The 23,876-nt window shown below is 52.6% G+C and overlaps 2 protein-coding genes across 21 annotated transcripts in view, besides 8 other annotated features; one reads left to right on the top strand and one right to left on the bottom strand.

Moving 5' to 3' along the window:
• The window catches only part of VAV1 (vav guanine nucleotide exchange factor 1), an 84,654-nt gene extending 81,561 nt beyond the window's left edge, over window positions 1-3,093 (bottom strand). For all 4 annotated transcript variants that reach the window (NM_005428.4, XM_005259642.2, NM_001258206.2 and 1 more), the window contains exon 1: window positions 2,790-3,093. In NM_005428.4, the coding sequence (NP_005419.2) occupies window positions 2,790-2,993 (204 nt within the window). In that variant the 5' untranslated portion in view covers window positions 2,994-3,093. The remainder of the gene's footprint in view (window positions 1-2,789) is intronic.
• Window positions 2,205-2,254: an enhancer, noted in NCBI's record as "active region_13864". NCBI's record gives its function as "activates an Ori minimal core promoter by ATAC-STARR-seq in GM12878 lymphoblastoid cells {active_cell/tissue: GM12878}" and the evidence as "EXISTENCE:reporter gene assay evidence [ECO:0000049][PMID:35858748]".
• Window positions 2,363-2,863: an enhancer, noted in NCBI's record as "H3K4me1 hESC enhancer chr19:6772949-6773449 (GRCh37/hg19 assembly coordinates)". NCBI's record gives its function as "activates a minimal SCP1, AML or CMV promoter by ChIP-STARR-seq in primed H9 embryonic stem cells {active_cell/tissue: H9 hESC(primed)}" and the evidence as "EXISTENCE:reporter gene assay evidence [ECO:0000049][PMID:30033119]".
• Window positions 3,025-3,274: a silencer, noted in NCBI's record as "silent region_9969". NCBI's record gives its function as "represses an Ori minimal core promoter by ATAC-STARR-seq in GM12878 lymphoblastoid cells {active_cell/tissue: GM12878}" and the evidence as "EXISTENCE:reporter gene assay evidence [ECO:0000049][PMID:35858748]".
• Window positions 7,828-7,887: a silencer, noted in NCBI's record as "silent region_9968". NCBI's record gives its function as "represses an Ori minimal core promoter by ATAC-STARR-seq in GM12878 lymphoblastoid cells {active_cell/tissue: GM12878}" and the evidence as "EXISTENCE:reporter gene assay evidence [ECO:0000049][PMID:35858748]".
• SH2D3A (SH2 domain containing 3A) lies at window positions 8,366-23,641 on the top strand. Of its 17 annotated transcripts, none has more exons than NM_001386587.1 (10): window positions 8,366-8,414; window positions 11,985-12,121; window positions 14,814-15,163; window positions 16,131-16,207; window positions 20,869-20,970; window positions 21,070-21,185; window positions 21,353-21,550; window positions 21,638-21,749; window positions 22,160-22,345; window positions 23,048-23,641. In NM_001386587.1, exons 2-10 carry the CDS (start codon window positions 12,053-12,055, stop codon window positions 23,206-23,208), a joined length of 1,371 nt encoding a protein of 456 aa, NP_001373516.1. In that variant the 5' UTR covers window positions 8,366-8,414; window positions 11,985-12,052; the 3' UTR covers window positions 23,209-23,641. The 17 variants fall into 17 exon arrangements, with proteins under 17 accessions (NP_001373516.1, NP_001373515.1, NP_001373514.1 ...); NM_001386586.1 differs by having other exon boundaries at window positions 23,027-23,641; NM_001386585.1 differs by having other exon boundaries at window positions 20,489-20,970; window positions 21,376-21,550.
• Window positions 9,976-10,876: an enhancer, noted in NCBI's record as "NANOG-H3K27ac-H3K4me1 hESC enhancer chr19:6764936-6765836 (GRCh37/hg19 assembly coordinates)". NCBI's record gives its function as "activates a minimal SCP1, AML or CMV promoter by ChIP-STARR-seq in naive H9 embryonic stem cells {active_cell/tissue: H9 hESC(naive)}" and the evidence as "EXISTENCE:reporter gene assay evidence [ECO:0000049][PMID:30033119]".
• Window positions 14,471-14,971: an enhancer, noted in NCBI's record as "H3K4me1 hESC enhancer chr19:6760841-6761341 (GRCh37/hg19 assembly coordinates)". NCBI's record gives its function as "activates a minimal SCP1, AML or CMV promoter by ChIP-STARR-seq in primed H9 embryonic stem cells {active_cell/tissue: H9 hESC(primed)}" and the evidence as "EXISTENCE:reporter gene assay evidence [ECO:0000049][PMID:30033119]".
• Window positions 21,842-22,051: a silencer, noted in NCBI's record as "silent region_9967". NCBI's record gives its function as "represses an Ori minimal core promoter by ATAC-STARR-seq in GM12878 lymphoblastoid cells {active_cell/tissue: GM12878}" and the evidence as "EXISTENCE:reporter gene assay evidence [ECO:0000049][PMID:35858748]".
• Window positions 22,222-22,401: a silencer, noted in NCBI's record as "silent region_9966". NCBI's record gives its function as "represses an Ori minimal core promoter by ATAC-STARR-seq in GM12878 lymphoblastoid cells {active_cell/tissue: GM12878}" and the evidence as "EXISTENCE:reporter gene assay evidence [ECO:0000049][PMID:35858748]".
• Window positions 23,642-23,876: the final 235 nt, after the last annotated feature.

Here is a 23,876-nt window from a genome sequence, read left to right as displayed (position 1 = left end):
TGCTTCAATCTGTGGACAGTTAGGCACCCAGAAACCCAGAGAGGTTGTTCCTGTGGCAGCTTCCTCTGGCTTCTTGTCAAGACCTCTTACCTTCCCTCACACGTCCCCACTACATACCAGACACACGGCCGGGCTTCAAAGGGCAACAAAATGGGTAGGGGCAGGAATGTGCCCCCTCGAAGAGGGAAAGGGTCTGGGTACACCGATGCCCAGCCTGGAGCCTGATACAGCTGGGCACAGGAAGCCAGAACAATGAGAAAAACTCCTATTTACTCTTCAAAACCCCAGCACAAATGTCCCCTCTTGCATAAAGCCTGACCCCATCTGGGTTCCCGTTGTTCCCTGTTACAGAGGATTAGGACTGTATTTGGAGTGCAGCTGCTCTCCCAGGGATTAGCATCATGCACCCTCGTCCTTCATCCAAAAACTAGCTTTAGCTAAGACATACACAAGAATGGAAGTTCATCCTTAAGTCTATCCACTTTCCCATTAGCTGCTATTGAAGCATCACAGAGAGCTTGACTCCCTGCCAGGTCTAACAGATGGGGCCTAACAGATCCCATGACTACTTCCTCATGCCCTAGAAACCAGAAGATTAAGCAAATGTAGGCAAAGCTGGGATGGGCTGTGGCCAGAGGATGGATGCTTAGGTTGGTGGGGGGAGTGCCTTCTCCTTTCAGGAAGCCCTGTCCCAGCTGAGGACAGTGTAATCCCCTGGCACTAAAGAAACAGAAGGGCCGGGCATGGTGGCTCATGCCTGTAATCCCAGCCTTTCGAGAGGCCGAGGTGGTCAGATCACCTGAGGTCAGGAGTTCAAGGCCAGCTTGGTCAACATGGGAAAACCCCATCTCTACTAAAAATACAAAAAAAAAAAAAAAATTAGGCAGGCATGGTGATGTGTGCCTGTAGTCGCAGCTACTTGGGAGGCTGGGACAGGAGAACCACTTGAACCCAGGAAGTGGAGGGTGCAGTGAGCCAAGATTGCACCACCGCATTCCAGCCTGGGCAACAGAGCAAGACTCCATCTCAAAAAATAAAAGATAAGATAAAAAAAAACAGAAGGAGCAGCCGGGCACAGTGGCTCACACCTGTAATTCCAGCACTTTGGAAGGCCGAGGTGGGTGGATCATTTGAGGTCAGGAGTTCAAGACTAGCCTGGCCAACATAGTGAAACCCTGTCTCTACTAAAAATACAAAAATTAGCCAGGTGTGGTGGTGGGCGCCTGTAATCCCAGCTACTCAGGAGGCTGAGGCAGGAGAATTGCTTGATCCTGAGAGGCTAAGGTTGCAGTGAGCTGAGATCGCACCACTGCCTCCAGCCTGGGCGACAGAGTGAGACCCTGTCTTTAAAAAAAAAAAAAAAAAAAAAAAAAGGCTGGGCGCGGTGGCTCACACCTGTAATCCCAGCACTTTGGGAGGCCGAGGTGGGCGGATCATGAGGTCGGGAGATCGAGACCATCCTGGCTAACACGGTGAAACCCCTGTCTCTACTAAAAATACAAAAAATTAGCCAGGCGTGGTGGCGGGCGCCTGTAGTCCCAGCTACTCGGGAGGCTGAGGCAGGAGAATGACGTGAACCTGGGAGGCGGAGCTTGCAATGAGCCGAGATGGTGCCATTGCACTCCAGCCTGCGTGACAGAGTGAGACTCCGTCTCAAAAAAATAAATAAATAAATAAAATAAACAGAAGGAGTAAAGGCGCATGGATCTCTTCCACCAATGGCCCTGCCCCTGAAAACCACCCGCCAGGAACCCCCATGGGCCCATCTCCATTAACTTATCCTCCCAGCTCTTCATCTGCAGGGCCAGCCTGAGGACCAGATGGGAGCTGTCCCCTCAGACCTCAGGGCAGGACTGTGTCCCCCAGGCCCCAGGATAGGGCTGTATCTCCTTTCATCCCAGAGGAGATGGGACTCCACCAGCCCCGCCCCGTCCCCCGTTCCCACCCAGCAGCCCTGGGGAACCAGACATGATGCTACAGCAACATAATGCAGCCACATCACACGCCCACCCAACCACATTCAAATAGGGATTTGAATATATTTCCTGAGCCAGTCTCATACAGCCACAGTCAAATCCACCACCACCCCTCCAGCCTGGGCCCCTGCAGAAATCCCTGCCGAGAAAATGCAGCTCTTCCAAGCACCAAGACCTCAGGACCCACTCTCTGAGCCCAGGACTGGGCCCTGCCTTACTATCTCCTCTGAGATGGATGCAGGGAGGAAGCTCAGATCCCTGGGGCTGCAGCCCCCCACCTGCCCCATGCTGCCCCAGGCCCAGGCAGGAAGCCAAGGGGAAGGAAGATGTAAGGGGAAGGAAGGGGCCCAGGGCCCGGGAGGAGGAGACACATGTGGGGGAAGATGTTGGCGGAGGCTCCTCCCCCACATCCAGACTCTGGGGGTCAAAGGAGTCCAAAGCCTCAGGTAACCCAATGGCCACCCTGGGGGTTCTGGGGAGCTCCCCCGAGACCTCTGGTTGGTCCCATCTGGGGGCATGAACCACAGTAGAGGCGCCTGGGGCTTGAGAGAGTTAACCCCTAGTTTGCCAGTTCTCAGCCCAGATGCGGGCCAACTCAGGGCCCGTGAACCCACACAGGGAGCCTGTTAAGCTTGGGGAGGCCACCCCAGAATCTCAGATTGTGACCACCCCCTGGGCCAGCCCTGGACCTGTAAGCATATTCCCTCTCCTTTGCAGGCCCAGAGGTGGAGCAGCACGTCAGCCCCTCGACTGTCAGCCCCGGGGAGGACCCCCGTCTCCAACCCTCAGCACACCTGCCCGCGGAGGGCTCACCTGGGACATCTGGGGGCGCAGGTTGACCTCACGCAGGTTGATGGCATGGGGTAGCAGGTTGTTAAGCAGCTGACACAGAAGGACACCATCCCGGAGGGCCTGGGCCAGTTCACACACCTGAGCCCCATCCCAGGTCACGCGGTGGCTGGGCGGCAGCACCCGGCACTGGATGAGCCAGTGGGTGCATTGGCGCCACAGCTCCATGGCTACCGCCTGCCCAGGGCCGGCCGTGCACCCTCGCAGCCTCCACCACCCACCCGCCCGCACGCCTGCCCTGCTCGCCTGTGGAGCGACAGCTAGTGCTACCACTTCCTCTTCTTTGCCTGTAACTGTCGCCCTGAGAGGGGGTGGAGGAGGAGGAGCCATGGGGCGGGGGGGAGCTGGGGGAGCACCTGCAGCCCAGCCCCACCCCACGCCTTCCATGCAGAATCTGACATCTCTTTCTTCCGCCCACTCGACACAGGCCTGGGCATGGGGAGTTGGGGGGCTGGGGGAGTCAGGCCAGCTAGACTATGAGATGGGTGAGCTTCCTCCATATGCAGACGGCGGCAGTGACACTCTGAAATATACCCAGAATTCACCCACTTCTCACCCCCTCCTCTGTCTGGTCCAGCCCCGTCATCACTCAGCTGGTCTTCTGACTCCAGCCCCCGTACCCCACAGTCTGTCCTCCCTGCAGCCACCACCAGAGGTTGCCTGTGAGCATCTGAGTCAGGGCACACCCTTCTTCTGCCCACAACTCTCTATGGCTCCCACTTTCCTCCAGGGACAAGCCCAAGTCCTCCCCAAGGCCCACAAAACCCTGCTTGAATTGCCCAGTTCCCTCCCTGCCCTCCCCACTCCCTCTCTCCCCCTCTTCACTGTGCTCCAGCCACACGGGCCTCTTCGCTCTTCCTCCAACATGCCAGGAACATACGGCCCTGCCCCAGGGCCTTTGCACGGGCTGTGTCCTCCACCTTAAGCAACTTCATGGCTAGCTCCCTCACCCCTACATGTCTTTGCTCAAATGCTACCTTCTCATGAGGTCTTCCTAAATCCCCTCATTTCAAATCACAGCCTTTTCCGCATTCCATTAGCTCTACCCACCTCCCTAGGTTAAGCCCTGATCTTTGTCCAACAAATCTGATTTTTTAAGTTATTTTTTTCCTTCCTTCCTTTCTCTCCCTCTTTCCCTCCCTTCCTTTCTTCCTTCCTTCCTTCCTTCCTTCCTTCCTTCCTTTCTTTCTTTCCTTTCTTTCTCTCTTTGTTTCTTTCTTCTTTTTTTTTTTTTGAGACGGAGTCTCACTCTGTCACCCAGGCTGGAGTGCGGTGGCGCAATCTCAGTTCACTGCAAGCTCCGCTTCCCGGGTTCACGCCATTCTCCTGCCTCAGCCTCCTGAGTAGCTGGGACTACAGGCGTCCGCCACCGCGTCTGGCTAATTTTTTGTATTTTTAGTAGAGACAGGGTTTCATCGTGGTCTCGATCTCCCGATCTCATGATCCGCCCGCCTCAGCCTCCCAAAGTGCTGGGATTACAGGCGTGAGCCACCGCGCCAGGCTTCTTTCTTCTTTTTTTTTCTTTTGAGACGGAGTTTCACTCTCGTTGCCCAGGCTAGAGTGCAGTGGTGTGATCAGCTCACCACAACCTCTGCCTCCTGGGTTCAAGCGATTCTCCTGTCTCAGCTTCCCAAGTAGCTGAGATTACGGGCATGCATCACCACGCCCAGCTAATTTTGTATTTTTAGTAGAGACAGGGTTTCTCCATGTTGGTCAGGCTGGTCTCGAACTCCTGACCTCAGGTGATCCACCTGCCTCAGCCTCCCAAAGTGCTGGGATTACAGGCGTGAGCCACCGCGCCCGGCTTTTTTTTTTTTTTTTTTTTTTTTTTTTTGACAGGGTCTCATTCTGTCACCCAGGCTGGAGTGCAGTGGCATGATCTCAGCTCACTGCAAGCTCTGCCTCCCAGGTTTTCCCTGACCTCAGCCTCCCAGGCAGCTGGGATTACTGGCACCTGCCACCATGCCCAGGTAATTTTTGTATTTTCACAGAGACAGGGTTTCAGCATGTTGGCCAGGCTGGTCTCAAACTCCTGACCTCAAGTGATCTGCCCGCCTTGGTCTTCCAAAGTGCTGGGATTACAGGCTTGAGTCACTGTGCCCAGGCTCTTTCTTCTGTCATCCAGGCTGGAGTTCAGTGGCATGATCATAGCTCACTGCAGCCTCAAACTCCTGGGCTCAAGTGATCCTCCCGCCTCAGCCTCCCAAGTAGCTGGAACTACAGGCTTGTGCCACTGTGCCTGGCTAATTTTAAATTTTTTTGCAGAGAGGGGCTTTTACTATGTTGCCCAGGCTGGTCTTGAACTCCTGGCCTCAAGCAATCCTCCCACCTCGGCTTCCCAAAGTACTGGGATTACAGACGTGGGCCATGGCACCCGCTCATCATTGTTTCTTTATTGTCTGTTCAAGAATTTATGTTTCTTTGGTTCACTACTGACCCCTCTCTTATGCAGCACCTGACACATAGGCATGCCCCTTAAATACCTGTTGAATGAATAAATAATTGAAAGCTCTATTGACTGCACCTGACATTTATCCCAAATCCATCCCTTTATCACCATGTCCATGGTCACCACCCAAATCCAAGCCACCATCATCCCTCTCCTTATAGACTACAATAGTGTCTTTTTTTTTTTTTTTTTTTGTCTTGCTCTATGGACCAGGCTGGAGTGTAGTGGCGCAATCTCGGCTCATTGCAACCTCTGCCTCCCAGATTCAAGTGATTCTCCTGCCTCAGCCTCCCGAGTAGCTGGGATTATAGGTGTCACCATGCGTGGCTAAATTTTTGTATTTTCAGTAGAGACAGGGTTTCGCCATGTGGCCCAGGCTGGTCTCAAACTCCTGGCCTCAAGTGATCCACCTGCCTCAGCCTCCCAAAGTGCTGGGATTACAGGCACGAGCCACTGTGCCAGGCCCAATAGTGTCTTTCATTAACTCATTCAACAAACATTTACTGGCTTCCCGGCCATTACCTTATCATTAGCTGAAATCATCTTCATGAGATTAGGTCTCTCTGCCCCCATCCCTAGCTTCCACCCCAGTAGAGTGTAAGCAGGCCCTCCCCCGTCCACCTAATACGTGGCCCTCATCATGGAGTTTCTTTTTAAATTATCGTTATTATTATTCTTAGGAGAAAGTTTCACTCTGGTTGCCCAGGCTAGAGTGCAATGGTGCAATCTCTGCCCACAGCAACCTCTGCCTCCCAGGTTCAAGTGATTCTCCTTCCTCAGCCTCCCTAGTAGCCGGGATTACAGGTGCATGCCACCACACACAGCTAATCTGCTCACAGCAACCTCCGCCTCCCAGGTTCAAGTGATTCTCCTTCCTCAGCCTCCCCAGTAGCTGGGATTACAGGTGCATTCCACCACACCCAGCTAATTTTGTATTTAGTGGAGACAGGGTTTCACCATGTTGGTCAGGCTGGTCTGGAACTCCTGACCTCAGGTGATCTGCCCACCTCGGCCTCCCAAAGTGCTGGGCCCTCTTTTTAAATTATTATAACCACGAGGAGGCGCTAGACCCCTTCCCTGAACATGCCCCTACCCTCTGACTGTACCAATACCAGACCGGTGAGGGATAAGGAAGAAACTTTCTTCCCCTCTTGAGCCTGGAGTCTCTTCCATATTTGCCAGGGCCAGTCGGGGGAGCCCAGTCTGGAAATTCCCTGCTTTGCAACCTACAGGCATCAAAACTTTTCATCCCCAAGCATCGTTGGCCCTCTAGGCCTCAATTTCCTCATCTGTAAAATGGTGGGTGAGTAACTTTCACCGCAAAGCAGCATCGTGGAGAAAGTGGGCATGCGAAGATTGAAAAGGAGGCAGACAGGATAAAGCTCCAGAGCTCCGGGTTTGAATTTCGCCTCTACCACTTACAAGCCAGGTTAACTTGGGCAAATGGTTTAGTTGCCCTGTGCCTCAGTTTCTCCATCTGGAAAATGGAAGTGATGAAAATACTACCTACCACCCTTACAGGGTGGTCTGTTTGAAAATTAAAATAGAGGCCTCATGCCTGTAACCCCAGCACTTTGGGAGGCCGAGGCAGGTGGATCACATGAGGTCAGGAGTTTGAGACCAGTCTGGCCGAGACCCCATCTCTACTAAAAATACAAAAATTAGCCTGTAATCCCAGCTACTCGGGAGTCTACAGCCGGAGAATCGCTTGAACCGGGGAGGTGGAGGTTGCAGTGAGCTGAGACTGCTGCCACTGCACTCCAGTCTGGGCAACGAGAGTGAAACTCCATCTCAAAAAATAAAATAAAATAAAATAAAGGCAAGTTGACAGAACAGCCCTTGTGTACAGTAAGTGCTCAATAAATGTTAGCTGCTGCTACTGCTTTTAAGACTGTGGTTACTGGGGCCAAGCACAGTGGTTCATGCTTGCTTGTAATCTCAGCGCTCTGGGAGGCCAAGGCAGGAAGTTCGCATGAGCCCAGGAGTTCCAGAGCCTGGGCAGCATAGTAAGACGCCACATCTACAAAAAATAAAATAAAATCAGCTGGGTGTGGTGGTGTGCACCTTTAGTCTCAGCTGCTTGGAAGGCTGAAGCGGGAGGATAGCTTAAGCCCAGGAGGTTGAGGCTACAGTGAGCTATGATCACCACTGCACTCCGGCCTGGGCAATATAGCAAGACCCTGTCTCTACAAGACAAGACTGATGTTAATATGAGGAACTCATCAATAAACGTGGCCAAAGAGTCCTCTCTCTTGCACTAGGTCCCTGTCACCTTTTCTCTTGTTCGTCTCCAGGCATCACGATGGAAGTCCCCCCCACCCTTCTTCCCACCTGGGAAACCACCTGAATGATTTGCCTTCCACCTCCACCAAAGTCCCGCCCCGCTCCAGCGTGCTGTCACTGAAGGAAGCTGTCGCGTTTTCCCGGACGTCTCTCCACAAAACCCGCCACCTAAATGGGGCTTCTTTCCGGAAAATCCGGGAGGGCGGTCTGGAGGAAGCGTACCCCTCCTTACGTCACAGCTGCCGCAGCTACCCCAGCCTGGCGTAAGAGCCCGAGGGAGTTGCCCTGCCCTGACCCGGAGCCTTGGCGGGGAGGGGAGAGAGGCACCCCACTCCACCCCGCCCTGGTCCCAAAGGGCCATGGGTGCTTGGGGCCGCCTGGGTGGAAGGGAGGGGCAGGGTTCTAAGGGGCGGGAACGTTGGGATGAAATTTCTTCTATTGCCCTAAGGGGCGGGGCTGAGAAGGAGGTGGCTGCGGGTGGGCGTAGTCATTCGGCGGTGGTCGTGGCTATATACAAGGGGAGGGGCCACTGGCAGGAAAGGATGCGTGGTGCTCCCCTAGTGGGCGGGGTCTATGGAGAAAGCGGTGCGATGCAGAAGGAGGCGTGGCTAGTAGCAAAAAAAATGGTTTTAAGGGGGCGGAGCAAGGGCCTGGGAAGTTAGTTTGAGGCGGGGCCCGCAGGGGGCGGGGTCTGCAGGAGGTGTGGTCAGGTAACTGGGCTGAGTTCCCACTAGGTGTGGTCTGGGAAGGCTGGGGCGGTGGCAAGGTGGAGGGCGGGGGTGACAGCAGCCCGGAGCCGCGGAGCCTCAGCTTCCGCCTGGACCCAGCCTCGTGGGAGCCCCGCGGGTCCTGCCCAGGTGAGTGGAGCCCCAGGGCAGATCCAGAACCAGGATTATTGGGATGGGGAGTCCTCTCTTTCCAGGTGGGGTCACCGGCTCGCAGGGAGGATCTGGGGTAGAAGAGGTCGCCTCGCGAATGAGAGGGTCGCTGTGCGTTACGCGTGTCGGTGTGCTCGGGCTCACCTGGGCGTGCCTCTCTAAGTGTATTTCCTGTGCAGCACAGAAAGCCATTGTTTCCATTTTTGCCTGAGTGATCCTCTTAAACGGCGAATCAGATCGGGCCCCTCCTTCACTTAAAACCCTTGGGTCATAGAGATTAAAATTCAAAGTCCACTAGTTTTTGCCTAGTCTCTCCTCCTGATCTCTCCAACCTCATTGCCCTCCTATCTACTCCTTCCTCATCGTATTCCGGCTACACCAGCCGCCTTGATGATGTAAAATGTAAAAAGCAAGTCCATCTCAGCTCCAGGCCTTTACCCTTACTGTACCCCTCACCCAGGCGACTCCTCCAAATCTTTGCCTAACTGCCTCCTTCTGTACTGAGGTCTCAGTTCCAATGTCACTTTATAGGAGAGGCTGTCCTGTCCAGCCTCCTCTATCACATCTCCCTGGCTTATCACTTTCATTGATAACTCTTAGAAATGGTCTGTCTTCTCCATTCATCTTGTGCTCGTTTGCAGTCTGTCTTGCGCAGCCGACTGCAAGCTCTGGAGGGCAGGGTGGTGCCGAGCTTTAATCTCCTTAGTCACTGTATCTCTAGGTCCTAGAACAGAGCCTGGTGCACAGCAAGTGCTCCAGCAATGGTCGTCCAACGTCAAAAGCGAGTCCTGCCTACATCTGTGTTTGTGTTGCCTGTGCTGGTGGTTCCCACCCTCCACGTCCTCCCCACACGTGGACACATGTTTATGATCCAACTGGAACATGAATAATCCCCTCTCTCCTCTCTCTATGCTTGGTCTGATTCCTGATTCTGCCCGTTTCTTCTCTTCCGTGCCCGAATAAATGATCCCAAAGGACTCAGAGGCAGGAGATGGCTTAGTTGGCCTTTGGCTGACCTATGGCCACCCTGTGTCCTCAAACTAACCAGAACCTTGCCATTGACTCAACTTCACTCTCACTAAGGGAGACACAAGACAGGAACTTGGGGTTGGGAAACTCTGCGACCGAGGCTAGCCCTGGTCCAGGTGACAAACAGGAAGTGCGCAGGCATTGCAAAGACACACCTGGCTTCAGGTATGCGGCACTGGCAGCTGGCTCCCTGCCCAGCGCTCCTCCCCTAAAGCCACCTAGGGCTGGTCTGGGAACTTCCTGCTGACTCAGGAGGCAGGAATTTCTCTGCAGACCCCACCAGAAGACTTTGCAGGGCTGCAGGGAGAGCTTGCAGGAGAGTAAGAAGCAGATTATCTTCTTCTGGACCATCCAGAGAAATCTCCCCCACCAGACACCTGAGACACACTGGCCCTGAGGCCTGTGAGATTATCGGGAAACTACCAAAATGTCTGAGATCCAAATTCAATCATCATGATAACCACATGTATGGGCTCCGAAATAGAAGGATCTGCAAAGGCAACATTGCTGTTTGCTGACATTGCTACAAAATGTGACCTTTTAAAAATCTTAACCCTGGGGTTACATTCTTTTTTTTTTTTTTTTTTTTGAGACGGAGTCTTGCTCTGTCACCCAGGCTGGAGTGCAGTGGTGTGATCTCGGTTCACTGCAGGGTCTGCCTCCTGGATTCAAGCGATTCTCTCTCCTCAGCCTCCTGAGTAGCTGGGACTACAGGCACACGCCACCATGCCTGGCTAATTTTTGTATTTTTAGTAGAGACGGGGTTTCACTGTGTTGACCAGGCTGGTCTCAAACTCCTGACCTCAGATGATCCACCCACCTCTGCCTCCCAAAGTGCTAGGATTACAAGAGTGAGCCACCGCGCCTGGCCCCCAGCGTTGCATTCTAAAGCAAAGAATAGGGGTTAGATCTGCACCTATCCTGAGAACCTCTGAGTGTGCGCATAGGTTGCCGAGAAGCCATGGATGTTTGTAAGTTAAATTCCCCCTGACTGGGATGTTTTTTCACCCAGAGTCACCTGGCACACTCCCCAGAATTCCTTCCAGACTTTACTCAATGAGACCTTTCCTGGTCACATGATCAAAAATGTTCACCCAGCCTGGGCAACGTGGCAAGACCCAATCTCTACATATATATTTAAAAATTAGCCAGGCACAGCCAGACGCAGTGGCTCATGCTGGTAATCCCAGTGCTTTGGGAGGCTGAGGAGGGTGGATCACCTGAGGTCAGGAGTTCGAGACCAGCCTGGCCAACATGGAGAAACCCCATCTCTATTAAAAATATTTTAAAAATTAGCCAGGCATGGTGGCACACACCTGTAGTCCCAGCTACTGAGGAGGCCGATGCACGAGAATTGCTTGAAACCAGCAGGCGGAAGTTGCAATGAACTGAGATCATGCCACTGCACTCCAGCCTGGGCAACAGAGTGAGACTTGATCTCAAAAAAAAAAAAAAAAAAAAAAATTAGCCAGGTACAGTGGCCCACGCTCATAGTCCCAGCTACTCAGAAGGATGAGGTGGGAGAATCACTTGAGCCCAGGAGGTCAAGGCCGCAATGAGCTGTGATTGCACCACTGCAGTCCAGCCTGGGCAATAAAGCAAGACTCTGTCTCAAAAAAAAAAGAGTGTTCACCCTAGCACCTGTACTTTCATTATATCCCATCCATGGTTTAGTTTTTTTGTCTAGCACTCACTCATGTATGCCATCATCTAGTTCTTTTCTGAGGTGCTGCTCCCCAGTAGAATGTCAGCTCCCAAGGACAGAGATTTCCATCTGTTTTGTTCAATGCTATGTCTCTAGGGCCTAGAACAGAGCCTGGGACCCCATAAGGTGCTGAATAAATAGGGGTTCAGTGAATTCATTAATTACATTTCTGCAAGATGGGGTGGCATGTTGTCATCTTCAGCCATTTTTTTTTTCTTCGATTGCATTATATTTGGAACAGGCACGATGGTGACATCTGTAATCCCAACTACTTGGGAGGCTGAGGCTAGAGGATTCCTTGAGCCCAGGAATTCAAGGCTAAAGTGTGCTATGATCACACCTGTGAATAGCACTGCACTCCAGCCTGGGCAACACATAAGACCTCTCTCTTTAAATGTAAAAAAAAAAGTCTGCGTGCAGTGGCTTATGCCTGTAATCCCAGCACTTTGGGAGGCTGAGGCAGGTGGATCACCTGAGGTCAGGAGTTCAAGACCAGCCTGGCGAACACAGTGAAACCCTGTCTCTACTACAAATATAAAAAAAGAAAAAACATTAGCTGGGTGTGGTGGTGCATGCCTGTAATCCCAGCTACTTGGGAGGCTGAGGCAGGAGAATCGCTTGAATCTGGGAGGCAGAGGTTGCAGTGAGCCAAGATCGCACCATTGCACTCCAGCCTGGGTGATAGAATGAGACTCTGTCTCAAAAAAAAAAAAAAAAAAAAAAAAAGATTTGATGGAGCTGTCTCCAAAATTAAGAAGAGGATGAAAGGAGCTGACCCAGACACTCAAGCAGGGCTAATTATTCCCCTTTTACAGATGTGGAAGACTGAGGCCTGTTGAAAGTGCAGAGCTCAGCCCTGGCACCCTCTGTTCCCAAGAGCTCCATGCAGGTGCCACAGGATGGAGAAGACCTTGCTGGCCAACCTTGGTACCACGGCCTCCTGTCCCGCCAGGTACCACCCACAGCAGGACCTCAGCACCATCTGGTGGGGAGCCTCTCCCACCCTTGCTGAGGATTCCTGGGTCCCTGGATGAGGGACTTAGTGCCAAGGTCTATTGGGACAGGTGGCAGAGGGCTGGGGACTGTCTTGAAGGTTGGCTGGCTGGGGACTGTCACTATATTTAAATTATCACTTTCTTTGGGATGATGAGATTGGTGATGGAGCTTAAGGAGAGTCCTAATGCCCCCAAACTACTCTTGGCTCTGGCCGTCTCTCCCTCTGAACTCCATCTACCTCCTGGTATTTCCCTCTAAATGTGAGGCTCCCAAGCCAGGCATGGTGGCTCACGCCTGTAATCCCAACAGTTTGAAAGGCCGAGGTGGGCGGATCACTTGAAGTCAGGAGTTCAAGACCAGCCTGGCCAACATTGTGAAACCCCATCTCTAATAAAAATACAAAAATTAGCCAGACATGGTGGTATGCGCCTGTAGTCTCAGCTACTTGGGAGGCTGAGGCAGGAGAATCTCTTGAACCCAGGAGGCAGAGGTTGTAGTGAGCCACAATTGTGCCACTGCACTCCAGACTGGGTAACAGAGCGAGACTCTGTCAAAAACATAAATAAATAAACAAACAAATAAATCTGAGGCTCCCACCTCCATCTGAAACTCAGTTGTCACCCCCAAAAATTCTGGGACCCTGAGCATCTCATGAAATCATGAGAGGCAGTAGAACTTAATAGTTAAAATCCCATAATTGAGACCCAGACACCCTAGGTTCAAATCCAAACCCTACAATTTATATTGTATGTGACCTTGGGCAGGACATTTGACCTCTCTGGGCCTCAGTCTCCCGATCTTTAACATAGGGATAGCAGGCCAGGCATGTTGGCTCATGCCTGTAATCCCAGCACTTTGGGAGGCTGAGGCAGGAGGATCACTTGAGGTCAGGAGTTCCAAACCAGTCTGGGCAACATAGCAGAACTCTGTCTCTACACAAAAAAAAAAAAAAAAGCGAAAATTATCCAGGCATGGGTGGCATGTACCTGTTGTCCCAACTACTCAGGAGGCTGAGATGGGAGGATTGCTTAAGCCCAGGAGGTCAAGGCTGTGAGTGAGCCATGAGTGCTCCACTGCACTCAGCCTGGGCAATCGAGAGAGACCTTGACTCAAAAAAAAAAAAAAAAAAAAAAGGCCGGAAGAAAAAAATGGGCCGGGCATGGTGACTCATGCCTGTAATCCTAGCACTTTGGGAGGCCGAGGTGGGTAGATCACCTGAAGTCAGGAGTTCGAGACCAGCCTGACCTATATGATGAAACCCCCTCTCTACTAAAAATACAAAAAAGTAGCCAGGCATGGTGGCATGCACCTGTAATCCCAGCTACTCGGGAGGCTGAGACAGCAGAATCGCTTGAACCCAGGAGGCAGAGGTTGCAGTGAGCCGAGATTGTGCCATTGCACTCCAGCCTGAGCAACAAGAGTGAAACTCCGTCCCAAAGAACAACAACAAAAAAAGGTATAATAATACCTACCACCCTTGTTACAGGAATTACAAGAGTTAACACCCTTTACATTTAAAGCAGTGCTTGACATATAGTAAGGGCTACACACGTGTGTCTGCTACATCTATTATTTAGTCCCCAGACCCCATGTTCAGCTCTACTTTGCCTCTCTCTGGGGTCCTGGCCCTTCTACCTGCCTCCCCAAGCCTTTTTTTTGTTTTTTTTTTTGTTTTTTTTTTGTTTTTGAGACATGATCTCACTCTGTCACCCATGCTGGAGTGCAATGGCTCCATCTCGGCTCACTGCAACCTCTGCCTCCTGGGTTCAAGCGATTCTCCCACCTCAGCCTCCTGAGTAGCTGGAATGACAGGTGCACACCACCACGCTCAGCTAATTTTTATATTTTTTGGTAGAGACAGGGTTTTGCCATGTTGCCCAGGCTGGTCTCAAACTCCTGATCTCAAGTGATCTGCCTACCTCAGCCTCCCAAAGTGCTGGGATTACAGGTGTGAGCCACTGTGCCCCACCCTTCCTACCCTATTTTGACACCAGCCACCACAGCTGGCATAAGACTGCTTGCAAATGTTTATAAAAGAGGGGGCCCCAATCTGGAAGCATCCAGCTAATGGCTTCTCTTGAAGCCACATTTGCATAACAAGCACAGTGCATTTACCAAATTAGATGTTGCATTGGTCAGCATCAGCTAGTGGCTGTAACAAACATTCCCAAGATATCACCAGCTAAACACAGTCAACATGTTAATGTCATAGTCCAAGGTGGTTGAGAAGCAGAGATGCAAAGCTCCATAAATCAGTTGGGAGCCAAGTGCATCTTGTAGCTCTGTCATCCCTCTGGGCTTTGGGGGATATCAGCTGACAGACAGGGGACACAACCTATAAGATTGTGCAGCAGGGTTTTATGCGCCAGGTCTGGATATTTCCCATAGCCCTTCTACCCCACATCCCATTGGCCAGTTCTCATCACATGACAACCCTAGCCGCAAGGGAACCTGGGAAATGTAGTCTACGTAGGTGCCAGGAGAAAGGGGGACAGAACTTGGTGTGAAAGTTCCCCGTCTTTGCCTGCCACAGAAGTTTCACTGGGGTAGCTTTTCTTGGGTGGTGGGGGCAATGGTGGGGGGAGCTACCATTAACCACTGCCCTGGACTCATTCCTAATTCCCCTGCCCCCTGAACTTCATCCACAGAAGGCTGAAGCTCTTCTTCAGCAAAATGGCGACTTCCTGGTTCGCGCCTCTGGGTCCCGTGGGGGCAACCCCGTGATCTCCTGCCGCTGGCGGGGCTCAGCCCTCCATTTTGAGGTGTTCCGTGTGGCCCTGCGTCCCCGGCCAGGCCGACCCACAGCCCTCTTTCAACTGGAGGATGAGCAATTCCCCAGCATACCGGCTCTGGTTCACAGTTATATGACAGGCAGGCGCCCACTGTCCCAGGCCACAGGGGCTGTGGTCTCCAGGCCTGTGACTTGGCAGGGGCCTCTGCGACGCAGCTTTAGCGAGGACACCCTGATGGATGGCCCAGCTCGGATAGAGCCTCTCAGGTACTCACAGTCTCCCTGCCTCCTTGAGAACACCCAACACTCGCAGGGTTTTCCAACTCAATGGTTGACTTTTTTTTTTTTTGACTGAGTCTCACTCTGTTGCCCAGGCTGGAGTGCAGTGGCATGATTTCAGCTCACTGCAACCTCCACCTCTCAGGTTCAAGCGATTCTCCTGCCTCAGCCTCCAGAGTAGCTGGGATTACAGGAGTGCACCACCACGCCCAGCTAATTTTTTTACTTTTTTATTTTTTATTTTTCTCTGGAGTCGAAGTCTCACTCTGTTGCCCAGGCTGGAGTGCAATGGCACGATCTCAGCCCACTGCAACCTCCGCCTCCCGGGTTCAAGCAATTCTCCTGTCTCAGCTTCCCGAGTAGCTGGGATTACAGGCGTGCACCACCATGCCTGGCTAATTTTTTGTATTTTTAGTAGAGACGGGGTTTCACCATGTTGGCCAGGCTGGTCTCAAACTCCTGACCTCAAGTGATCCACCCGCCTCGGCCTCCCAAAGTGCTGGGATTACAGGCATGAGCCACCACGCCTGGCTAATTTTTTGTATTTTTAGTAGAGACAGGGTTTCACCATGTTGGCCTGGCTGGTCTTGAACTTTTGACCTCACGTGACCGCCCGCCTCAGCCTCCCATAGTGCTGGGATTACAGGTGTGAGCCACCGCACCCGGCCTTGGTTGACTTTTGAGGCCCGAACATTCTTAGTTGTGGGGGAGGAGGTGGAGATGTCCTGTGCATCATAGGGTGCTGAGCAGCATTCCTGAGCTCCATCCAACTAGATGCTACTAGTTGTGACAACTAAAGATGTCTCCACACGTTGCTAAGAGTCCCCTGGACGTAGGTCACCTTGATTGGTTGAGACTCACTGGTACAGAGTAACTGGACACAGGGTTTTGCAGATATTGGTGGGGGACACTGCTTAGGTGGGGACTACAGGTTTCTCCCACTTCTGTCCCCCAGGGCAAGGAAGTGGAGCAACAGTCAGCCTGCAGATTTGGCACATATGGGGCGGTCAAGAGAAGACCCCGCTGGGATGGGTAAGTGTCTGCTAGAATGGCCTGTGGCTCAGGGATTGGCTCTGCCACTCACCACCTAAGAGATCTTGGTCAGGTGCAGGCACCTCTTCGAGCCTCAATTTCTTGCTTTAGAAAATGATGACAATCACGATGACTTAAAACATGCAGGGACTTTGTGGGTGCTTAAAATGTGTGTTTACAAGGCTGAGCGCGGTGGCTCATGCCTGTAATCCCAGCACTTTGGGAGGCCGAGGCCGGTGGATCACTTGAGGTCAGGAATTCGAGACCAGCCTTGCCAACATGGTGAAACCCCATCTCCACTAAAAACACAAAATTAGCCGAGCGTGGTGGCACGCACCTGTAATCCCAGCTACTCTGGAGGCTGCGGCAGGAGAATCGCTTGAACCTGGGAGGTGGAGGTTGCAGTGAGCCGAGATGGCGCTACCGCACTCCAGACTGGGTGACAGAACAAAACTCCATCTCAAAAAAAAAAAAAAGTGTTTACAATTATTCCAAGGAGCTGTACCTGTTCTGACCACAGCTTACCTTGCTAACAACTTCTGCTACGTACCCTCCTCATGCTGGTCACACAGCCCTCCTTGCAGTTGTTCGAACCCTCAGGCTTTTATTCCCGCCTCGGGGCCTTTGCATTTTACATTTCCACCAGTGACGGGAACATTCTCATTCCCCTAATTTTTTCCTGAGTGGCTCCTCTCCATCCAGGGTAAGTTCCTCAAAGCAGTTGAGTCTGACGGTCTTACCTAAAGGAGGACTCACCTGAATGCCCCCTCATGCCCCTTTTTTCCCATCCTTCTCCCAACCCCATTCAACATGAGCCGTCCCTGCATCCCAGGCCCTGCACGGAGTGCTAGGATACATCAACAAACCAGAAAGAGACAAAGATCCCTGCCCGATGGGAGCCAACAGTCCACGAGAGGACAACAAACCATGAACCACAAAAATAAGGCAATTTTGTTTGCTTCAAGATGAAAATTAAAACACAGGAAGGGAAGGCCAGGCACAGTGGCTCAGGCCTGTAATCCCAGCACTTTGGAAGGCCAAGGCGGGCGGATCACCTAAAGTCAGGAGTTCGAGACCAGCCTGGCCAACATGGCGAAACCCCGTCTCTACTAAAACTACAAAAATTAGCCGGGCGTGGTGGTACACACCTGTAATCCCAGCTACTCGGGAGACTCGGGAGGCTGAGGCACGAGAATTGCTTGAACCCGGGAGGCAGAGGTTGCCGTGAGCCAAGATTGCACCACTGCACTCCAGCCTGGACAACAGAGTGAGACTCTGTCTCAAAAAACAAACAAACAAACAAAAAACAGTAAGGGAAGGGTGAGGTGGCTCAGGTCTGTAATCCTAGCACTTTGGGAGGCCAAGGTGGGCGGATCACTTGAGGTCAGGAGTTCGAGACCAGCCTGGCCAACATGGTGAAAACCCATCTCTACTAAAAAAAAATAAAATAAAATAAAATACAAAAATTAGCCAGGTGTAGTGGCATATGCCTGTAATCCAAGCTACTTGGGACAGAGTGAGACTGTCTCAAAAAAACCGAAAAAACAAAAACAAAACAAAACAAAAAAAACAGAGTAAGGGAGATAGAGACTATAAAGATGGAGATGTATATTGCAATTTTATTTTATTTCTATTTATTTATTTATTTTTGAGATAGAGTTTTGCTCTTGTTGCCCAGGATGGAGTGCAATGGCGTGATACCGGCTCACTGCAACCTCCACCTCCTGGGTTCAAGTGATTCTCCTGCCTCAGCCTCCCGAGTAGCTGGGATTACAGGCATGTGCACCACGCCCTGCTAATTTTGTATTTTTAGTGGAGATGGGGTTTCCCCATGTTGGTCAGGCTGGTCTCGAACTCCTGACCTCAGGTGATCCACCCACCTCAACCTCCCAAAGTGCTGGGATTACAGGCGTGAGCCATTGTACCCAAGCAAGCAATTTTAAGTGGTAGTCAGGAAAGGCCCCATTGCAGAAAAAAATAAAATTGAAGGAAATGAGGGAGGGAACAGGTGGATAACTGGGGGATAAGCAGGCAGGAGGAAGAGGCAGTGCAAAGGCTCTTGGGTCAGAACAAGAATTTAAGCTGTTCATTCAACCAAAAAATGAGTGGGTAGCTGGGTGTGGTGTTGCACGCCTGTGGTCCTAGCCACTTGGGAGGTTGAAGCAGGAGGACTCCTTGAACCCAGAAAGTCAAGGCTGCAGTGAGCCGTGATCGCACCATTGCACTCCAGCCTGGGCCACAGAGTGAGACCCTGACTCAAATTTAAAAAAAAAAAAAAAAAGAAGAAGAAAAGAAAGGGCTGGGTGCAATGGCTCAATTTCTTCTTAAAAAAAAAAAAAAAAAGATACACGTGCAGAATGTGCAGGTTGAGCCTATTCAAAGGCATGGTAAATACAGTCTCCCAAAAGTCTTAGTACAGTTTTAAGTACTAATAGTCCAGAAATTACAAGCCTGTAATCCCAGCACTTTGGGAGGCCAAAGCGGGCGGATCACGAGGTCAAGAGATCAAGACCATCCTGGCCAACATGGTGAAACCCCGTGTCTACTAAAAATACAAAAATTAGCTGGGTGTGGTGGCGCCTGTGGTCCCAGCTACTCGGGAGGCTGAAGCAGGAGAATCACTTGAACCCGGGAGGCAGAGGTTGCAATAAGCCGAGATGGCGCCACTGCACTGTAGCCTGGTGACAGAGTGAGACTCCGTCAAGAAAGAAAAGAAAGGAAGGAAGGAAGGAACGAAGGGAGGGAGGGAAGGAGGGACACACGAGTGTAGCTGAAGCAGAGGGAATGAGGGGAGAGTCAGAGAGAGAGACCCTGGGGCTCAGATTGTGAGGATTTTTCAGCTACTGTGAGCACTTTGGACCTTAACTCAGAGTGAGCCAGGCACTGTTGGATGATTTCAAGTTCCTAGAAAAGAGCCTATTCAAAGGCATGGTAAATACAGTCTCCCAAAAGTCTTAGTACAGTTTTAAGTACTAATAGTCCAGGAGATCAACATGCCACCAACTTACAAAGGACGTCATTTGAAAGTTTACGATGAGGGGAGGGAACTTAGAGGAGGGGTCAGTAGGTGCAGCAAACCACCATGGCACACAGATACTGAACCTGCACATTCTGCACATGTATCTTTTTTTTTAAGAAGAAATAAAAAAGAAAAAAAAGAAAAGAAAGTTTAATAAGCTTGGTTTCTTTGACACTTATCTGAGTGTCATACCATACGCAGCTTTGTGAATTTTTTATACTTTGTCTCTCTATAGATATCTATATTAATTGTATATATTTTATATAGATATGTCTATGGAGAGATATATTATCACAAAAAAAGTAAAATATCTATCATATATAAATGTAATTATATGTAGTATATAGGGCAACATTATACATTTAATAATGTTAATTTTATTTAACATATACTTAATTTAAATATATATTATATATTTATATAATATATATCTATCTCTATAGATATGATATAGAGAGATATATCACTTAATTGTAGATAGATAGATATCTTTTTTTTTTTTTTGAGACAGGGTCTTACTCTGTCATCCAAGCTGGAGTGCAGTGGTGCAGTCATACCTCACTGCAGCCTCTGGCTCAAGTGATCCTCCCACCTCTGCCTCCCAAGTAGCTGGGACCACAGGTGCATGCCACCATGCCCAGCTAATTTTCTAACTTTTTGTAGAAACAAGATCTTGTTATGTTGCCCAGGCTGGTCTGGAATCCCTAGCCTCAAGCAATCCTCTCACCTTGGCCTCCCAAAATGCTGAGATTACAGGCGTCGGCCACCACGCTCATCCTTTTTTTAAAAAAATTTTTAATTTCGTTGGGTCACTGCTTACCATCTTTCAGTCAGAGGGGCAAAAACAAAGAATTCAAATTTAAAATGTAGTATTCAGAATTCATAGGGTCAGGCAAGGTGGCTCATGCCTGTGATCCCAGCAGTTTGGGAGGCCGAGGAGGGAGGATTGCTTGAGACTAGGAATTCCAGACCAGCCTGGGCAACACAGTGAGATCCCATCTCTATAAAATAAAATAAAATTAAAAAAAAATAATTTACAGAACTATAGAGATGCTAAAGTTTTCTAACCATGTGTAAGCATGTAGCATTTCTACCGTCGAGGTGGTTGAAATTCAAAACTGCACCCGGATAGGTTGTTATACCCCATTATTGGAATGAGTGGATGGATCAGGTGGGTGGTAGCCGATGAAGCTCTCACCCCCGCCCATTCAGCAATCTTCCCTGTGTATTCCCATTGACCCCTCTTGTATGACCTCTAGAAGCCTCCACCATGCCCATATCTGCCTTGCCCCGAACGAGCAGTGACCCGGTGTTGCTGAAGGCCCCTGCTCCCCTGGGAACTGTTGCCGACAGTCTCAGGGCCTCCGATGGGCAGCTTCAAGCCAAGGCACCAACGAAGCCCCCCCGGACACCCTCCTTCGAACTGCCTGATGCCTCTGAACGTCCCCCGACGTACTGCGAGCTGGTGCCCCGAGTGCCCAGTGTCCAGGGAACATCCCCGAGCCAAAGCTGCCCAGAGCCAGAGGCCCCATGGTGGGAGGCCGAGGAGGATGAGGAGGAAGAGAATAGATGTTTTACAAGACCACAGGCTGAGATCTCTTTCTGCCCCCATGATGCCCCCTCCTGCCTGCTGGGCCCCCAGAATCGGCCCCTGGAACCCCAAGTCCTGCATACCCTCCGTGGCCTGTTCCTGGAGCACCATCCTGGGAGCACCGCCCTTCACCTGCTATTGGTAGACTGCCAGGTGGGTCACCTCCTGGGATGCTCCTCCCCAGGCCCAGGGCAAGACCCAACCATGCCTACATAATCACGCTTCACCTGACTTCCCCATTCCCTTCTGCAGGCCACAGGCCTCCTGGGAGTGACCAGAGATCAGCGGGGCAACATGGGAGTCTCATCTGGCCTGGAGCTGCTCACTCTTCCCCATGGACACCACTTGAGGTTGGAACTGCTGGAGAGGTGAGCCAGCAGCTTGTAATCTTGGTTGGGGGAGGCCAATTCCCCCCACTTCCCAAGATCTCCAAACAGCTCCCCACTCATGGTTCCCCAGGGAAGAAGGGAGATGGGGCAATGCCACCTCCTGTCCCCCCTCACCCCTGCATTACAAACCTCCCCACTTCCCCCAGACCCTTGCCCTCCACCTCTGCAGGCATCAGACACTGGCGCTGGCCGGGGCGCTGGCGGTGCTGGGCTGCTCGGGGCCGCTGGAGGAGCGCGCAGCCGCACTGAGGGGACTGGTAGAGCTGGCGCTGGCGCTGCGGCCAGGGGCGGCGGGGGACCTGCCCGGGCTGGCTGCAGTCATGGGCGCCCTGCTCATGCCCCAGGTTCGTGGGGAGCAGGGACTGGAGGAAGCTGGAGTGCGGGTGACTGGGAAGACTGGAGAGGAGGCGTGCTCAGATCTCTTCTCCCAGGTGTCCCGGTTGGAGCACACGTGGCGCCAGCTCCGAAGGAGCCACACGGAGGCTGCGCTGGCCTTTGAGCAGGAGCTGAAGCCGCTGATGCGGGCTCTGGATGAGGGCGCTGGTAAGTGAAGGTCTGGGGCTTAGCATCCCCTGGGGGCCCAGACCAAATTTAACAGGACTCAATCTAGTCCTATGCCCAGTCCCTGCATCTGTTCTAGGCCCGGTCCCTTCACCATAGGCCCCGCCCTCCACATGAGGGTTGGTCCTGGCCCTTTCCCTAGGCCCCGCCCTCCACACGAGACTTGTTCCTAGGCCACGCCCCCACCAGCCTTGGTCCCAGCCCCTTTCCCTAGGCTACGCCCCTTCGCCATAGGCCCCGCCCTCCATACGGGGCGTGTGGTCCTGGCCCCTCTCCACAGACCCCGCTGTCGCTCAGTCCTAAGCCCCGCCCCTGCATTTGTCCTAGGTTCCACCTCTGCCCTATGCCCCATCTACAGCCCCAAACCCTGATCAGACCCTCCCCCTCCGCAGGACCCTGCGACCCCGGCGAGGTGGCGCTGCCGCACGTGGCACCCATGGTTCGCCTACTGGAGGGCGAGGAAGTCGCGGGGCCGCTGGACGAGAGCTGTGAGCGGCTGTTGCGCACCCTGCACGGGGCGCGTCACATGGTCCGGGACGCACCCAAATTCCGCAAGGTGGCAGCCCAGCGCCTGCGAGGTGAGCGTTCCCTCTGCGCTGGACTGCAGACTTCAGAGCACCCTGCAGGTTCTAACCGGATCCCCCAAACCCAGCCTGTCCCAGGAGGGGAGCCTCTCGCCACGCCTCCCGGAGCCCCACCCAAACTGGGACGGCTCCACTCCAGGAAGGTTCTCACCCCAAGCAAACGCTGCATCCAGCGGTATTGATAGGAACAGGGCCGTCCACCTCAAAACGGGCTGTCCTGCCCCCAGAGCCACCTCCGCGGGTCCCCACTCCCCCTTCCCACCTAAGACGATCCCGTCCCCCAGGGATCTCGATCCCCAAGAACGCCCTGCTCCCTCCAAAACGACTCCTCCGTCCTATCCTAGGGCAGCCCACCCGGCAAGATCCCCCCACCTTCCCCGACAACCTGGGATCCCGTCCTCGGGGCAGCCCCACGTCCAGGCACAGCCCCTAAGGCGGGACCTCCAGGATCTGGCACCTGGAACAGGCCACCCCATTGCACTGCGGTAGAGCCCCTCAGGCACCCCACCCCCATTCCTGCAGAGAGCTGGAAGCCCCCTCCCCTCTGACCCCGCCTAGTCATCCCGCAGGTGGGGCAGGTCCCTCCCGGGCCCCTGTTGGGTCAAAGTCCTCTGGGGAAAGGAAGGTGCCGGGAGGTTGGGAGGGGCGAGGCGGGCGCCTGGGCCCCGCCCCCAGCCCACCTGACCTTGCTTCCAGGATTCCGGCCTAACCCGGAGCTGAGGGAGGCCCTGACCACCGGCTTCGTGCGGAGGCTGCTCTGGGGTAGCCGGGGCGCGGGAGCTCCGCGCGCTGAACGCTTTGAGAAGTTCCAGCGCGTCCTCGGCGTCCTGTCGCAGCGCCTGGAGCCTGACCGCTGAGAGCGCAGACACCCTTCTTCACACCCGGGACCCCCAGGTTTTTGCGAACCCCAGAAGAGACCAAAGGAGTCGTCCCAGGCTCCTCGCGCCTCAGGTGGAATCCTGCCCTGTGCCTCACAGAAGAGGTGGGGACCGCAGTCAGGGTCACCTGGACCATGGTGAACATGTGACCTGCAGATCTGGCATCAGAGGCCAGAGTTCAAATGTGACTCCACCTCTTAAAAGCCGTGATTTCTAGCAGTTGACTTCACCTCTGTGTCGGCCTTTAACAAAATCATAGCCATACAGCAGCTCAGGCCTGTAATCTCAGCACTTTGGGAGGCCGAGGCGGAAGGAAGGCTTGAGGCCAGGAGTTCAAGACCAGCCAGGGCAACATGGTGAGACCTCATCTCTACAAAAACTGAAAAATAAAAAACTTTTAAAAAATGTAAAAGTTGAGGCTGTGTACTTTCTAAGAATTGTGGCCAGGAATGAGACCCCAGGTGGAGAATGCCTGGCACACAGTAGGTCTTCAATAAGTGCTACCCATTCTCAGAAGCTGCAGTGCATTCAGAAGGGATGAAACTTGGGTGTCCTGGCCAGGTGCGGTGGCTCACGCCATAATCCCAGCACTTTAGGAGGCCGAGGCAGATGGATCACTTGAGGTCAGGAGTTCAAGACCAGCCTGG

Source organism: Homo sapiens, chromosome 19 (genome assembly GCF_000001405.40).
Source record: "Homo sapiens chromosome 19, GRCh38.p14 Primary Assembly".
In the NCBI taxonomy this organism is placed as follows: Eukaryota; Metazoa; Chordata; class Mammalia; order Primates; family Hominidae; genus Homo; species Homo sapiens.
This window is presented reverse-complemented; position numbering and strand designations above follow the sequence as displayed.

Excerpts from the sequence above, each read along its gene's own strand:
- SH2D3A (NM_001439225.1), top strand. The coding sequence starts at position 12,053 with ATGCAGGTGCCACAGGATGGAGAAGACCTTGCTGGCCAACCTTGGTAC. Across the intron at positions 16,208-20,485 it reads AGAAGACCCCGCTGGGATGG|AAGCCTCCACCATGCCCATA; the intron begins GTAAGTGTCTGC and ends TATGACCTCTAG. Across the intron at positions 22,346-23,047 it reads GGCAGCCCAGCGCCTGCGAG|GATTCCGGCCTAACCCGGAG; the intron begins GTGAGCGTTCCC and ends CCTTGCTTCCAG.